Source organism: Homo sapiens, chromosome 19, assembly GCF_000001405.40.
Source record: "Homo sapiens chromosome 19, GRCh38.p14 Primary Assembly".
Taxonomy (NCBI): domain Eukaryota; kingdom Metazoa; phylum Chordata; class Mammalia; order Primates; family Hominidae; genus Homo; species Homo sapiens.
Window position 1 is genome coordinate 23489553 of NC_000019.10, and position 16851 is coordinate 23506403.

At 33.8% G+C, this 16851-nt stretch overlaps 1 pseudogene; it reads right to left on the bottom strand.

The window, feature by feature from the left end:
• Positions 314-16430, bottom strand: ZNF725P (zinc finger protein 725, pseudogene; annotated as a pseudogene).

Below are 16851 nucleotides of genomic sequence, written 5' to 3' on the forward strand. Positions count from 1 at the left end.
AGACTCCGTCTCAAAAAAAAAACAAAAAAAAACTATTAAACAAACAAACAAACAAAAATTATGGGTCTAACATGAGTAATAGTCAACTTAAAACAGAGAATTTTCATGGGGAGATTCTGAAGCATAAGCCAAGGATTATACAGTAATAAATTCAATACAAAGCAGACAGAATAGATTTGCTTTCAGCATTTTTGAGAATTTCTTTCTAGTAAATTAGACACCTTCTTAAAATGATTTATTTTGCTCCAAAATTGCTTTTTTCTGCTAAAAATAGTTTCAAACTTACAATAACACAAATACATTTACTCCAAAATTTATTTACACCTAAGATTTATCTTTAGACTAATAGATGTATATTTAACTCTGTAAATCAATACTAACAGTCCATATGTGCATGCAAGCAGAGGCCACATTTTACTTATGTTTCTACATAATTTTCATTATGACCATAAAAGTGATCCTGCAGTCAATAACAATTTAATTGTACATTTAAAAATAACTAAAACTAGTTAGTTATTTGAAGAAATGAATTGCTTGTAATACAAAGAATAAATGCTACAGGTAATGGATAACTATTTTCCTCTAATATGATTACATATTGCATGCCTGTATCAAAATATGCCATATATGGCATATGCATATACACATATTATGTATCCACAAAAATTAAGAAAAATAAATTTAAACGTGAAAATAAGAATAAAAGTTTCACCTATAGGAACAATATTCTGTAACTTATTGACAATTTAAAGCCACTGGCAAAAAAGATTACTAGAGATTTCAGTCCATTATCTTACCAAATAATATATTGTTACCATCTTTTACCTACACCCTTGAGTAAGGTGTAATAGGCTAAAGTTAGTGGCATAACACTTCAATGAATTCATGACAGTATTTAAACTGTTAAAAATGTTTAAATGGAAAGTTGACATAAAATTTATAATTTAAAAGTATAATTAATATTATTCCATAAAAGTACAATTAATAAGATAACATACTAACTTAAACAAAATTTAAAAGTTTTTCTTTCCTAATAATGCAGATTACTCTGAACACCTACCTCATACATCACTCAATGTTATAAGTTAACCACAAAGAGCCTCTCTACTTAAATTTTCATCATGAATCCTACATTATAATGTCCTTACCCTTCCATAGAAAAGGTCATAAATAACACCTACCTAAAAAAAAGAATCTTTCGTATCTTTTATTCAGCAATGTTTAGTCACATATTTTCACATGTGAATACACCAGGAATGATGAAACAGCATGAAGTAATTTAAGACATTAATTCCATTATTATTCACTTTTTAAAAATTCCATATTTTCACAAAAAGTATACTTTGAGTGTAATTACATCTCTCCAAAATTTTTTTTTAAAGTTATATACAAATAATGTTTATATGAACTTTAGTCTGTATTTTTTATACTCAGCATTCTGATTTAGTATAATGTCTAAAGTTTGAGTGTCCTAGATATTTCTACTGTGAATGATTCCCTGATAGTTACATAGAACTAACTAACTTTGGACTGAATATCTTTCATATTTAATGCATCTGCAAAAATACATTTTAGTATAAACTCTTTGGTGTTTTATAATTTGCAGTTTTTGAAAAAAATGTTTTTCCAAATTTATTACATTGGCAGGGTTTTCTTCAGTATAAACTCCTTGATGTTGAACAAAATTTTAACAACTGCCTCAAGATTTTCCTCTAGTACAAAATGTGTACAATACGATCTGTGATACAAGCAAAGATATTACAACCCTCTTCATATTGGTAATGCTTTTTCAAAATAAATACTCTTCTGCACTTTATAGACATATTTTCTGATAGATCTTTTGATAGTAATTAAACTTTTAATGCTTTTATTTAGTATGAATTCTGATTTTGAGTAAGATTTGAGCAGGTATTAATGGCTTTTTTGTCAATATTTGTACATTGGTTCTCAAGTATAAATGCTTTACAGTGCAATAAGATGTGAGCATTGGTTAGAAGCTTGGCCACATTGTTCACACCGTCAATTTTCTCAGCATGAATTATCTTATCTATAATCAAGCGTGACAATCATTTAAAGGCTTTGTCACATTCTTCACATTTCTAGAATTTGTTGGCAACATGTTTTTATGTTTAGAAAAGTTTGAGGTGTTGTCAAAAGCATTGTCTTTTCTTTCAGGTTTGTAGAGTTTCTCTCCAATATGAATAATCTTATGTCTGTTAAGAATTGAGGACTTTTTTAGGCTTTCCATATTATTAACACTTGTAAGATTTTTCTCCAATATGACTTATCTGTAGTAATAAGTGAGGACTGGTTAAAGGCTTTGCCAAATTTTTTCCATTTGTAGGGTTGCTGTCCAGTATGAATTTTCTTATGTGTAGTTAGGGATGAGGATGAGAAAAAGGCTTTCCCACATTCTTCACATTTGTAGGGTTTTACTCCAGTATAAACTACCTCAATGTTTATTAAAAGTTGAAGATAAGTTAAAAGATTTGCCACATTATTCATATTATCAGGGTTTCTCTACAGTATGAATTTTCTTATGGTTAGTAAGAATTGAAGACTGGTTAAAGGTTTTGCCACATTCTTCACATTTGTAGGGTTTCTCTTCAGTATGAATTATCTTATGTTTAGTTAGATTTGAGGACCATTTAAAGGCTTTGCCACATTCTTCACATTGGTAGGGTTTCTCTCCAGTATGAACAATTGTATGTTTCGTAAGATTTGAGTAACGATTAAAAGCTTTGCCACATTCTTCACACTTGTAAGGTTTCTCTCCAGTATGAATTATCTTATGGTTAGTAAGGATTGAAGACTGGTTAAAGCTTTTGCCACATTTTTCACATTTGTAGGGTTTCTCTTCAGTATGGATTATCTTATGTTTAGTAAGAGTTGAGGACGAGTTAAAGGCTTTGCCACATTCTTCACATTTGTAGGGTTTCTCTCCAGTATGAATCATCTTATGTGCAGTAAGGGTTGAGGATTGTCTAAAAGCTTTGCCATACTCTTCACATTTGTAGAGTTTCTCTCTAGTATGCATCCTCTTATGTATAGTTAGGGTTGAAGATCGGCTAAATGCTTTGCCACATTCTTCACATTTGTAGGGTTTCTCTCTAGTATGAATTTTCTTATATTCAGTAAGGGTTGAGGACCATATAAATGCTTTGCCACATTCTTCACACTTGTAAGGTTTCTCTCCAGTATGGATTATCTTATGTGCACTAAGATTTGAGAATCGATGAAAAGTTTTGCCACATACTTCGCATTTATAGGGTTTCTCTGCAGTGTGCATTCTCTTATGTTTAGTTAGGGTTGAGGACCATACATATGCTTTGCCACATTCTTCACATTTGTAGCGTTTCTCTCCAGTACGAATTATCTTATGTGTAGTAAGGGTTGAGGATTGGCTAAAAGCTTTGCCACATTCTTCACATTTGTAGGGTTTCTCTCCAGCGTGCATCCTCTTATGTTTAGTTAGGTTTGAGGACCATACATATGCTTTGCCACATTCTTTACATTTGTAGAGTTTCTCTTCAGTGTGCATCCTCTTATATATGGTTAGGGTTAAGGATTTGTTAAACGTTTTGCCACATTCTTCACACTTATAAGGTTTCTCTCCAATATGAATTATCTTATGTGTAGTAAGATTTGAGGATAGACTAAAAGCTTTTCTATATTCTTCACATTTGTAGGGTTTTTCTTCAGTATGAATTTTCTTATGATTAGTAAGGGTTGAAGACCAATTAAAGATTTTTCCACGTTCTTTACATTTGTAGGACTTCTCTGTAGTATAAATGCTTTTATGCTGGGTTTTGTGTGAAAGCATGCAAAATGATTTGACACATTTTTTTACATTTGAAAGGTTTCCTTCCAGTGTGTCTTATGTCTGTTTGAATTTACAAATTTATAAAAGACTTTCAAACATTTACCGCATTGAAATACTTTGCTCTGGGTAGTTGTGTAACACAGGTTAAGTCCATTATAACCTTCTTTGTGCACCTTAAGCTCATCCACACTTTGAGCCTTTTCTTAACTGTAAATTCTGATGTCCACATTTTTCATATCTTCTTGGTATTACTTTTTGAAAAGAATCTTCCATACCCTGTTCTGGCCAAAGGTCTTGAGCAACATGAGAATGTATAACTGAAAAAAAATTTTTATAAATTACTCCACTTACTAGACTCACATGAATATAGTTTAAAAATCTTACCTATAAATTTATACCATCTACATAAATAAAATGGCTTTGCAAAATACCACAGGCCCTAATTCTTTCACAGACATACAAATGTAACAAAAATATAGAGACCAAAATACATCTGTGGAAAATTTATAAATGAGTTGTGTGCAGTGTCCCAGATGAGCACAATGTGAAAAACCACATAGAAGAAAAAGAGAAGTCTGATAAATTTACCCAACACAGCTTTTCCTGCTTCTCACTGTAACATAATGCCTTTAGAAAGGGCAGCCTGGCCAGCATGGCGAATCCCCATCTCTACTAAAACTACAAAATTTAGCTGGGTGTGGAAGTGTGTGCCTGTAATCCTAGCTACTCAGGAGGCTGAGGCTGGAGAATCGCTTGAACCTGGGAGGTGGAGGTTGCAGTTAGCTGAGGTTGCACCAGTACACTCCAGCATGTCGGGAGGATAGAGTGAGGCTCTGTCTCCAAAAAATAAAAATTAAAAGGAAACAGTGATGTGCCATTTACAAACACAGTCTTACGAGATAATCTGTGAAGAGTTAACAAAAATTTTGCAGGCCATAAGGGAACTGTGTGATGTAGTCATAAAAAAGTTGTGAGAAAAAGCAGCTATTAAGTGAGAATAATACCATCAGTGAATCTGTTCTGCCAAATAAAAATATAGAAACTTTCCAAAATAAACAAGTTTTAAAAAAGTATATTGGTACTGCTTATGTCCTACATATAAAGGGTGCTGAAAATATTTTACTGAAAATAACATGATTCAAAAAAACACCACATAATCATACAAAAATAATTTTCTGGAAAACATACACAAATAAACAAAATTAGAATTTCTGAGCATTATCCTAGTGGTGCAAAAAACATTTCTAATTATTCTCTGAAATTTGAAAGAAAAAAGTATAGAAATAATTATAAATATCTGTTAATGAATATACAACACAAAAAGACATAACTAGCAATGTCAATGAAACTTGAGGGAAGATGAAAAAGAATTTTTGTATGCAACTTATTTTTTTACCAGATTAAAATATATTGTTGTATTTTTCAGAGGTTATATGTAATCCCCAAAGTACCACAAACATATTCGTATAAATACACAAAAGAGGTTGGGTGCTGTGGTTCATGCCAGTAATCCCAGCACTTCGGGAGGCCGAGGCAGGTGGATCACAAGGTCAAGAGATTGAGACCACCCTGGCCAACATGGTGAAACCCCGTCTCTACTAAAAATGCAAAAATTAGCCAGGCGTGGTGGCAGATGCTTGTAGTCCCAGCTACTCAGAAGGCTAAGGCAGGAGAATCACTTGAACCCAGGAGGCAAAGGTTGCAGTGAGCCGAGATCATGCCACTGCACTCCCACCTGGGTGAAAGAACAAAACTCCATCTCAGAAAAGAAATTTAATGGTTAAAAAAGACTGGAAGTAGACATTCCATGCAAACATTAATCAGAGGACAGCATAAACAGTCAAAATAATCATACACAAGCTCCATCTTAAGTCAAAAAGTATAATATTTTATAAAATGTACTTGAAATTAAAACTCCAAAGAAACAAAGAAGAACATCAAAAAATAATCGATTCATTAACTGGGAACCTATTACAAATTTCTCTGTGTGTGTGTGAGTGTGTGTGTGTGTATGTGTCTCACATTAGTGTTCCAAATATATAAAGCCAATATTGACAGAATGGAAGAAACACAAAGAAAGCAGTATTATTATAGAAAGATATTTTAATACCACACTTTCTGTAACAAAAATAAAACAAGAATGTTAATAAGGGAATAGACTACTTAAAGGCAGTATAAAACAATTATTCCGAACAGAGTGATGGAGAACATTCCTCAACAACATCAGAATACATACCCTTCTCAATAGCTCATATAACATTTTCCTTGATAGACCACATCTTAGGCCACAAAGGAAGTCTTACCAACATTTTTAAAGGTAAAATTCCATGAACTACTTTCTATGACCAAAATGATATGAGAGTATACTATGATGAGAACAAAAATGAAAAATTTACAAATACACAGAAATTAAACAAAACACTCTTAAGTGTGCTCTTACACAAAAGTTGAAATAGTTAAATTGTGAAGAGGTCCATTGTGCTCAATGCAATTTACATATTTAATGCAATGTTTTCCAAATTTCTCATTGCATTTTTGAAGAAATAGAAACAACAACCCCAAAAGTATATAGAATCCCAAGAGACTATAAAGTGCCCAACAATCTTCAAAAAAAAGAAAAAAATGCTGGAGGCATTTAAGTTCTTAATTCAAAATACATTACAAAGCTACAGAATTAAAATGATTTGCTATTAGTATAAAGGTAAAAAAGTAGACATAAAATAGAATGCAGCACACATATAAACTTTCACATATATGGTCATATAAGGAGTCATTTACATACTCATAATTATTGCAGCATTGTTACTGTAAGCCAACAGGTGAAAGCAACCCAAATTTCTTTCACCAAATCATTCAGCAGATGTAATTTGAAATATAAAAATTGTGAGGCCAGGTGTGGTGGCTCAAGCCTGTAATCCCAGCACTTTGAGAGGGTGAGGCGGGCTGATTACCTGAGACTGAGAGTTCAAGACCAGCCTGACCAACATGGAGAAACCTAGTCTCTACTAATAATACAAAATTAGCGAGGCGTCGAGACACATGCTTGTAATCCCAGGTACTTGGGGGGATGAGGCAGTAGAATCGCTTGAACCTGGGAGGCAGAGGTTGCGGTGAGCCAAGATCATGCCATTACACTACAGCCTGGGCAACAAGGGGGAAACTCCATCTAAAAAATGAAATAGAAAAACGAAAAAAAATTCTGGAATATCACTCAGTATTCAAAAAGAAGGAAATATTCTGCCAACTATAAATATAAATCTTGATTGCATTATGCAAAATGAAATGAGTCAGCCACAAAAAGAGACTGTATGAGATATATGAAGGAGTTACACTTTTAGAAACAAAGAACAGAGTGATATTTGAAAAGTGCCATAAAACAGAAAAAACTGGGGCCAGGCATGGTGGCTCACACCTGTAATTTCAGCACTTTGGGAGGCCAAGGCAGGTGGATCACCTAAGCTCAGGAGTTTGAAACCAGCCTGGCCAACATAGCAAAACTACGTCTACTAAAAATGCAAAAATTAGCCAGGCATGGCAGTTGGCACCTGTAATCCCAGCTACTCAGGAAGCTGAGGCACTAAAATTGCTTGAACCTGGAAGGTGGACGTTGCAGTGAGCTGAGATCGTGCCACTGCTCTCCAGTATGGGTGACAGAGCAAGACTCTGGAAAATTTGGTAGACAATGGAAAAATTAGTAGTTGTTTAATATGTATTAAGATTTAGCTTTACAAGATAAAAATGTTTTAGCAATATGTTCCATGACAATGTCACGATAAACTGAATATTTAAAAATATTTTGTGGTAAATTTTGTTATGTTTTATTGACAAGTAAAAATAAACAATAATACCTAAAAGATACATAGTTATGATAGTTTTAAATTATATTCAAAACCAAATGTGTTTCTCCCATGCAAAAATCACATATATTCACAAATTAATAGGATGTTGAAATTACAAGAATTTCATGACTTCTCATCTACACAGGATTAAAAAACTATTCACAACAAACCTTCACAACAAATATACAAGTTATAAAAAAAAACAAGGATAACATTTTTCCAGGCAAATAGAGATAATTCTATTGGAAAAGACATATGGCTAATTCATATATGATTTTGCTCCACAATGTCTTAAATTGTACAAAGTTAAATATTGGCATGCACAATTAGAATATATACTAAAAAATCAAAACACAATTAACAGATGTGTTGTGACATACCCTCAAATACATATATATATTTTATATACAAAAATATAAAATTGCAAAATAAAATTAAAACATGGAATGTAAAACTTATTAGATACCATCAACTAGATCAATATATTCATTAAGGAAGAAGAATATGAGAAAAAAATAATAGAGGTTACTTGAAGATAAAAAAGGGTGAGAACTTTCCACATTTTGACGTAATAAAAGAAAAAATTCTAACCAATAATATTTGATTTAAATTTATTTTACTTTAAAAAGAAGATGAAAATAAAAAAATCCAAGATAAAGGATGAGGGTGTTCATCACCACTAGCACAGTTTTATGAAAAAATGCTACATGGGGGCAGGCACTGTGGGCTCATGACTGTAATCTTATAGTTTTAGGAGGCCAAGGCTGTCAGAACACTAGAGACCAGGAGTTTCAGATCACGCTGAGTAATCCAGGGAGACTCTGCATATAACCAAAAAAATGCTAAAATGAGTCAATTTTGTTTAAAAATAAAATACTGGACAGCATCATAAAACCATACATAAAACAGAGCGCTCTATTAAATGCAAATATACAAATATAGAACTCTTTACTATCATAATGATGATGTATACAAGTCTTAAAGCTATTCTGTAGAGTATTTAAAACAGAAAAACCGGCATAAATGTTAATATACAATATAAAATAATTTTTAATATTAATAACAAACTGAAAAATATAGAGGTAAAATTTTTATATTCAATTTAAGTTGTCATGAGATTTAAATATATTGTTTTAATTTTAAGATGTTTCATGTAAACTCCATTTTTTAAGATGATATGGTTTGGCCATGTCCCAACTCAAGTCTCATCTTTAATTCCCACATGTTGTGGGAGGAAAGTGGTGGAAGGTAATTGAATCATGGGGGCAGGTCTTTTCTGTGCTGATCTCACGACAGTAAATAAGTCTCATGAAATCTGATGGCTTTATAAGGCAGAGTTTTCCTCCACAAGCTCTCTTTCTTGTCTGCCAACCAGGTGAGACATGCCTTTCACCTTCCAGCATGATTGTAAGGTCTCCCCAGTCATATGAAACTGTAAGTCCAATAAACCTCTTTCTGTTGTAAATTGCCCAGTCTCGGGTTATATCTTTATCACCAGCATGAAAACAGACTAATACACAAGATGGTTATGAAGACAATATTTATAGAAACTATGCAAAACAAAATGTAAAAAATAATTGAAGCACGTCACTACACAATTAAAATAAAATTTAAGGCAATAAAACAATATATTAAAAAACCCACTGAGGAATACATAAAACAATAACAATAAAACTAATAACTTCATTTTAATAAATAATTTTAAATATAAATTAATTAAACTACTTAATAGAAAGAAATGTAATCTCAGGACTTTCGGAGGTTAAGGTGGGCTAATTACTGGATCTCAGAAGTTTGAGACCAGCCTCGGCAATGTGGCAAAACTTTGTCTCAACCATACATACAAAAAACCTAGCTGGGTGTGATGCTACACACTACCTGAGAGGCTACACACAACTACCTGAGAGGCTGAAATGACAGAATCTTCTGAGTTTGGGAGGTTGAGGCTTCTGTGAGCCATGATCACAACACTGCAAACCAGCCTGGTTGAGAGTGAGACCTATCTCAAAAATAAATGAATAAACAAGTAATTAAATGAAATTATAAAAAGAAAAAATAAAATGCCTTAGTGGCTTAAGAAAAAGCCACCTACAAGGGACTCATTTTAGCACTGAGTTAAATAGGCTGAAAACCACATGGTGAAAAAAAAATTTATTTTATGAAAATAGTAACTACAATTGGGTATTAGACATAATATCCTTTAAGTCAAGTGCTAACGTGAGACAAACATTGATAGTATATATTAGTAAAATGAATTGATTTACCACAAATCTATAACTATTCTTTCTTTCTTTTCTTCTTTCCTTCTTTCCTTCTTTTTCTTTCTTTTTCTTTCTTTCTTTCTTTCTTTGTTTCTTTCTTTCCTTTCTTTATGTATGTGTATATATAACATCAGGCTCCAAAATATATAAAGCAAATATTAACAAAAGTAAAGCAAAAAATACATAGCAACATAATAATTGTAGACATCAAGACCCCATTTTCCATCATAGAAAACTCACATAGAAAAATCAATTAAAAAACAGAAAACCTAGACAACATTATAGACTGTATTATTTTGCATATAGAGGAATACTTGAGAGTGGATAATTTATAAAGAAATAATGACTTCACCATTTCTGCACATATAAATACAGATAAATATTTAATAGGGGGATAATGCCTCCTAGAAAATGGGTGAAAATATTTACAAATCATATGTGATAGGAGTCAATATTCAAAAAATATAAACAACTTTTAAAACCGAACAATAGCCAGGTGCGGTGGCTCACATCTGTAATCCCAGCGCTTTGAAAGGCCGAGGCAGGCAGATCACGAGGTCAGGTGTTCAAGACCAGCCTGATCAACATGGCAAAACTCCATCTCTACTAAAAATACAAAAGTTAGCCAGGTGTGGTGGCATGCGCCTGTTATCCCAGCTACTCAGGTGACTGAGGTGGGAGAATCACTTGAAACCGGGAGGTGGAGGTTACAGCCTAGGCGACAGAGCAATACTCCATCTCAAAACAAACAAACAAAACAATAAAGTTGAATAACTTTATTTAGAAATAGGCCAATAATTGAAATAAATTTTCATCAAAACATTTGAAAGGACACACAAAACTAATTTGTAGAGAAATGCATAAAAATCACAATGAATGAAAAACAAAATCCCCTCACACTCATTTAAATGGCCACTATCAATTTTTTAAAAACACCAAACCTGTCGATGATGCAATAAAAATGAAACCCTTGGCCGCGCGTGGTGGCTCAAGCCTGTAATCCCAGCACTTTGGGAGGCCGAGGCGGGCAAATCATGAGTCAGGAGTTCAAGACCAGCCTCACCAACATGGTGAAACCCCATCACTGCTAAAAATACAAAGTTAGTTGGGTTGATTGTCGGTGGAAAATAAGGATGCACCCATTATTTTATAACGTTATAAATGTACTTCAAATAATTAAAAATAAATTATCAAATACAGCAATTCCATTTATGAATCTATATCTAAAATATGCAACATAGGACCTTGAAGACATGTTCGATACAATGAAATATTATTCAGCCTTAAAAAAAAATCTTCTCACATTTAAAGATACACTCTGAGAATATTATGTCAACTGAAATAAGCCATAATGAAATGATGGATGTTATGATTTCACTTATTTAAGACATATAAAATAGTCTCATTCATAAAAACAGAGTGTGGAAGGGCGGTTCTCAAGGGATGGAGAGAGTGTAAAATGGATAAACGTTATTTAATGATACTGAGTTTTAGTTTTACAAGATGTAAAATTTCAAGAAGTCTTTTGCATAACAATGTGAATATACATGACATGCCTAAAATATACATTTTGTTTTTGTTTTTGTTTTCAGACTGGGTCTCAATCTGTCACCCAAGATTGTGTGCAATGGCGCAATTATGGCTCACTGCAGCCTCAGATTCCCAGGGTCAAATAATCCTGCCCCTCAATCTCTCAAGTAGCTGGGACCACAGGTGCACACCACCGTGCCTAGCTATTTCTTAGAAAAAAAATATTATTAGAGAGGGTGTCTCCATATTTTGCCGAGGCTGGTCTCAAACTTTTGGGTTCAAGAAATCCCCCTGTCCTTGCCTCTCAAAATCCTGGTTTTACAGATGTGAGCCACCACCATGCCTGGCCCTGACATGTACATTTAAATAGATTTAAGAAGGTAAATTATGTTATGTGTTTTTACAACATTTTTTTTTTTAAAACTGGAAAAAATACAGAATTATAAATCTTTTTAAAAATTACCTTCGGATCACAAAAGTGTTTCTCTCACACAAAGGAAATACATATTCATCATTAAACACATGGTGAAAATAAGACTATTTCCAAGGCCACTCACTTAGAAAAGATAAAACCAACATTGAAAATGAGCTAAGAGGCAGGGCAAGGTGGCTCATGCCTGTAATCCCAGCATTTTTGGTGGCCAACGTGGGCAGATCATCTGAGATCAGAAATTCCAGACCAGCATGACAAACATGGAGAAAGCCCATCTTTACTAAAAAAAAAAAAAAAATACAAAAGTATCTGGGTGTGGTGGCATATACCTGTAATCCCAGCTACTAAGGAGCCTGAGGCAGGAGAATCACTTGAACCAGGGAGGCGGAGGTTGCAGTGAGACGAGATCCTGCATTGCACTCCAGGCTCAGCAACAAGAGCAAAACTCCATTTCCAAAAAAAAAAAAGAAAGAAAATGAGCTAAGAATGTATGAATGTATACAAGATAAGGTATAGCCAAAATTGGGGTCATATTTGCAGATAAAAACACACACATATATATAATTTGATTGTGATACACATGGCTCATTTATCTTTTAATTAAAACTTACATTAACTTAAAGTATACAAACAACTGCTAATTGTCTAAAATTATAATACTTAAATAATAGCAATAGACACAATAAACTGATGTTAACAAACTTACACTAAAAAGCACACTAACTGCAAGTACAACTGCAAGACAATAATAACAGAAATGCTTAGTCATAAAATCTAGTTGGCAACATTAATGTACATTAACAAATAATTTGTCTAGATAACTGCAATGTTTGACTGTAACTGTGCATTCATGGAAGGCAGGCATTTGAAATTACTGGCATCCATTTTATGGCAATAAAATTTCAGAGAAAATGCAGAACAATCATAAATGGGAGATGCTAATGAGAAACTTTTAATAGATTTAAGCATTTAAAAAAACTAGTGCCAATTTTTACGTTTTAAATATACGCTATTTTTAAACAAAATATAACTACTGTAATCCAAGTTTAGAAGCAAAGAAAATCCTTACACTGCTTTTATATATATATACACATATATATGTATATATATACACATATGGTCAGAGCCTCCTATATAAAATGAATATTTGGGGAATAAATTATGTTATTATTTAGATATAGGCTGATAAATTTGTTGAAAATTCTATAATTCCTTTTTGTCTGCCTGCACACTAATTATCTAATTTAATTCAGGCACAACATGTAAATTCTAGTATAGTACCCTAAATTTCTGAATCTAAAATTACAGACAAATTTGAAGTAGAAAATAGAAAGTAAAAATGTATATGGAGAGTGACATTAATAAGATTTTTTTAAAAAGGTGCCCTACTTGCTTATCCCCTGAAAGCAAGAAAATTTGTCAGCCATTCCTGATAAAAACGCCTTTATGAGAGAACCAGGCATCATGGTTCACACCTGTAATGACAACTACGTGGCAAAATAAAGTAGGAGAATTGCCTGCAGTCAAAATATTAAGACCTTTCTGGGTTATGTAGGAAGACCCCCATTTCAAAAATAAGTGCTTTTAAAAGAGCTCTGAGATCCAGGAAGGGAGCTGTGAAACTCTGCTGAAGCCCAAGACTGAAGGTAATTCTGTTTAGAAGACAGGCCCTCATTCAGGTGGCAAACTACAGGACTACTGTTTTTGGCTACAGACAAGAAAACGTTCCACCTAACTTGGTTCCACTGAGAATTTTAAACTTACTCTGTAACAATCCCAAACTCTTCCCAGCCATAGTCTGGGGGAGGTCTTGCCCTTCCAGAGGCCTGGAGGAAGACCTGCATTTATAGCCATGCAGTAGGCCTACAGACCTTTGCCTTTACTGTGGTCCCTGAAGCAGTTCCATGATGCAGTTCCAGCTCCCTGAGCCACAGTTCATGGCCGGTTCTGCCCATGTAGAAACCCAAAGTGACCTGGGAAAATTCTCTCTTGTACTTGGTGAAAGCCATGCTCATCCACATCCTGATATAAAGCCCACCATATGCAGGCCTGACTGCAGAAACCTGCCCTTGGGTTTGCCCTGCAGAGCACCTAAGTCCTGAAGGATATTCACTCTGTCCAAAAATTAAATGAGAATTACAACTATCCAAGCCCCTTTTAACAAGACCACTTAAATGGATTCTTGTGCAAATCCAGAAGGCTTAAAACCAACCTAAAACCCCTCTTCACTACAAACCCAGAGGCATTCTATCACTCTGGTGGCCTAATAAAAATAGATTTTTCCTTTCTGAAACCAGTTTATAAAATCCTGAAGAGGTGTTTGCTCCTTCAAATTTACACACACCAATGCAAAACTATTGTTTCTTATTGTCAATGCTTCTATTTTAACATTGCACTGAAGGCATGTGAAAGAAGAAATAGTCAAAAGAAAAATTTAAAGTCATTGAAGTTGAAGTGCAGTAAGTAAAACGTTTGTTTGTAGATCATGTAATATTAATATATAAAAAATAAAAAGTACATAAAAACCTGTTTAAACTAATGAATACACTCAGTTAATTAGCAAAATATAAAATTAACATACAATTCTGAGTAATCATTCCATACACTTAAAACAAACTCTCTGACAGAGGAAAAAACAATCTTATTTATGATAGCATAAAATAATCCATTTTAGAACAAATTTAATTAAGCAGCTCATAAATCTTTTTTTTTTTTTGAGACAAGAGTCTTGCTCTGTCACCCAAGCTGGAGTGCAGTGGCATAATCTCGGCTCACTGCAACCTCCACCTCCCGGGATCAAGCAATTCTCCTTCGTCAGCCTCCTGAGTAGCTGGGATTACAGGTGCCCGCCACCATGCCCAGCTAATTTTTGTATTTTTAGTAGAGACGGGGTTTCACCATCTCACTGGTCTTGAACTCCTGATCTCATGATCCACCCGCCTCGGCCTCCCAAAGTGCTGGAATTACAGGAGTGAGCCACCAAGCCAGGCCAAGAGCTCATAAATCTTTTAAATGAAAGATATATCAATAAAAAAATTAGGAAACAAATAAATTTAAAAATATTTTATTTCTATTGAAAGAATAAGAATTGTGAAAATGCCATATTATCCAAAGTGATCTCTAGATTCAATAAACTCCCTATCAAAATTCCAGATGTGATGCAAAAAGAGAACTTAAAAATAGTTTAGGCCAGGCATGGTGGCACACGCCTGTGTTCCCAGCACTTTGGGAAGGCAAGGTGGGCAGATCGCCTGAGGTCAGGAGTTTGAAACCAGCCTGGCCAACATGATGAAACTTCATCTTTACTAAAAATACAAAGTATTAGCCGGGTGTGGTGGCGTGTGCCTGTAACCCCAGCTGCTCAGGAAGCTGAGGCAGGAGAATCACTTGAACCTGTGAGGCAGAGGTTGCAGTGAGCTGAGATTGCGCCACTGCACTCCAACTTTGGCAACAAAAGCAAAGGTGCCTCTCAAATAAAATAAAATAACATAAAACAAAATAAAATGGTTTAACAGAGTATCTCAAAATTATGCAGATATGTATCTGTCCACAAAAACAAGAAGTCAGATTGTGCACTCTTTTATATGCCATGAACAGTACTTTGGCTGTCACTGTAAACTTCAACGAAGATCACTGAAGGGAAAGTAGAATTCTTAGAGATTTTATAAGCATAAGCAGAAGATGGCCCTATGTGAGAGTGTAATTTTTAAACAATTTCAGGCTTCCCAGAAACTATTTCCTTAGGAACACAGCTTCCCAAATCGCTTTAAAGACTTACTTTCTTCTTGACTTTGGACCTCTCATCCATGTCGTCTGTTGTATTCACTCTCACCTACCTGGGGTTTCATCCACCATCTCATGTCGCTTCATATTCCAGGGCTCTTTTCCTTGCTCCAGACAGGTGATCAGGTCTGGCTTAGAGAAAGCAATACCTGTTTTATTAAAAATAGCTAACATGAATTTTGTTCATATTCTCCAATTACCGACTTAGTAATGTGCTCAGTAAAAAGGATATAATAGATTATTCTAATAAGTTTATCCCAATATACTAATTTATAACAGAAATTTTTAAATATTTAGAAAATATTTTAATTTTGTAGGTTCTTAATTTCAGTGCCTGCCACTGCTGAATAAAAAAATTGGTGAAGCAGATAGATTTTAAGGTGTGAATAATATTTTATGCCACTAAGCTTCTGAAATTACCACTAATCTAAAATGAAGGACACAGATCAGCTCAGGAATGTGGAAAGTTCAGGTCAAGATGAAACATCTTCAATAAATTTTTTCTAAACAGACAACTCCCCAGGATTTTCTTGATAACAGAAATATGAAAGCATAAGTACCAGAAAACATTCTACAAAGAGAAATGAAATTTTTATTTTATATTGAGGAATTTTGTATTAAAGTTATCCTCACCCAGGAAGGCCAGGTTTATGTAGTTCTCTAACATCATCTTCCTATATAAATTCTTCTGTGCAGTGTCCAGGTACTGCCACTCCTCCAGAGAGAATTCTATGGCCACATCCCTAAATGTCAACAGTCCCTGGAAAACACACACAAACACACATATTTACAAAGTGGCTATGAATAGAATTTTTTATTTGACACAAGGTAAAATCAGAAAGTGAATAGAACTGGTTCTGACTTAAAAGAATGATTGAAACTATCCAATAAAATAATTGTCAACACACAAACGTTTTCTAAGGTATTCTCTAACTATGAGATAAGAGAGTGGCATAATATCCACAACCTCAGTGTATATGTGATACTTGTCTGAATGACAAAAGTGTAAAATTGAGGGCATATCACGAACATGTACATTTTTGAGTGCTATATTTACATAATAGAGAATTAGTTGTGTATATTTTTCAGAAGAAAAAGACATAGTTTATATATTTCAGACAAAATAGACATGTTGAGTTAGACGGTACCACTCAAATTTTAATGTGTACAATAAACTGGACA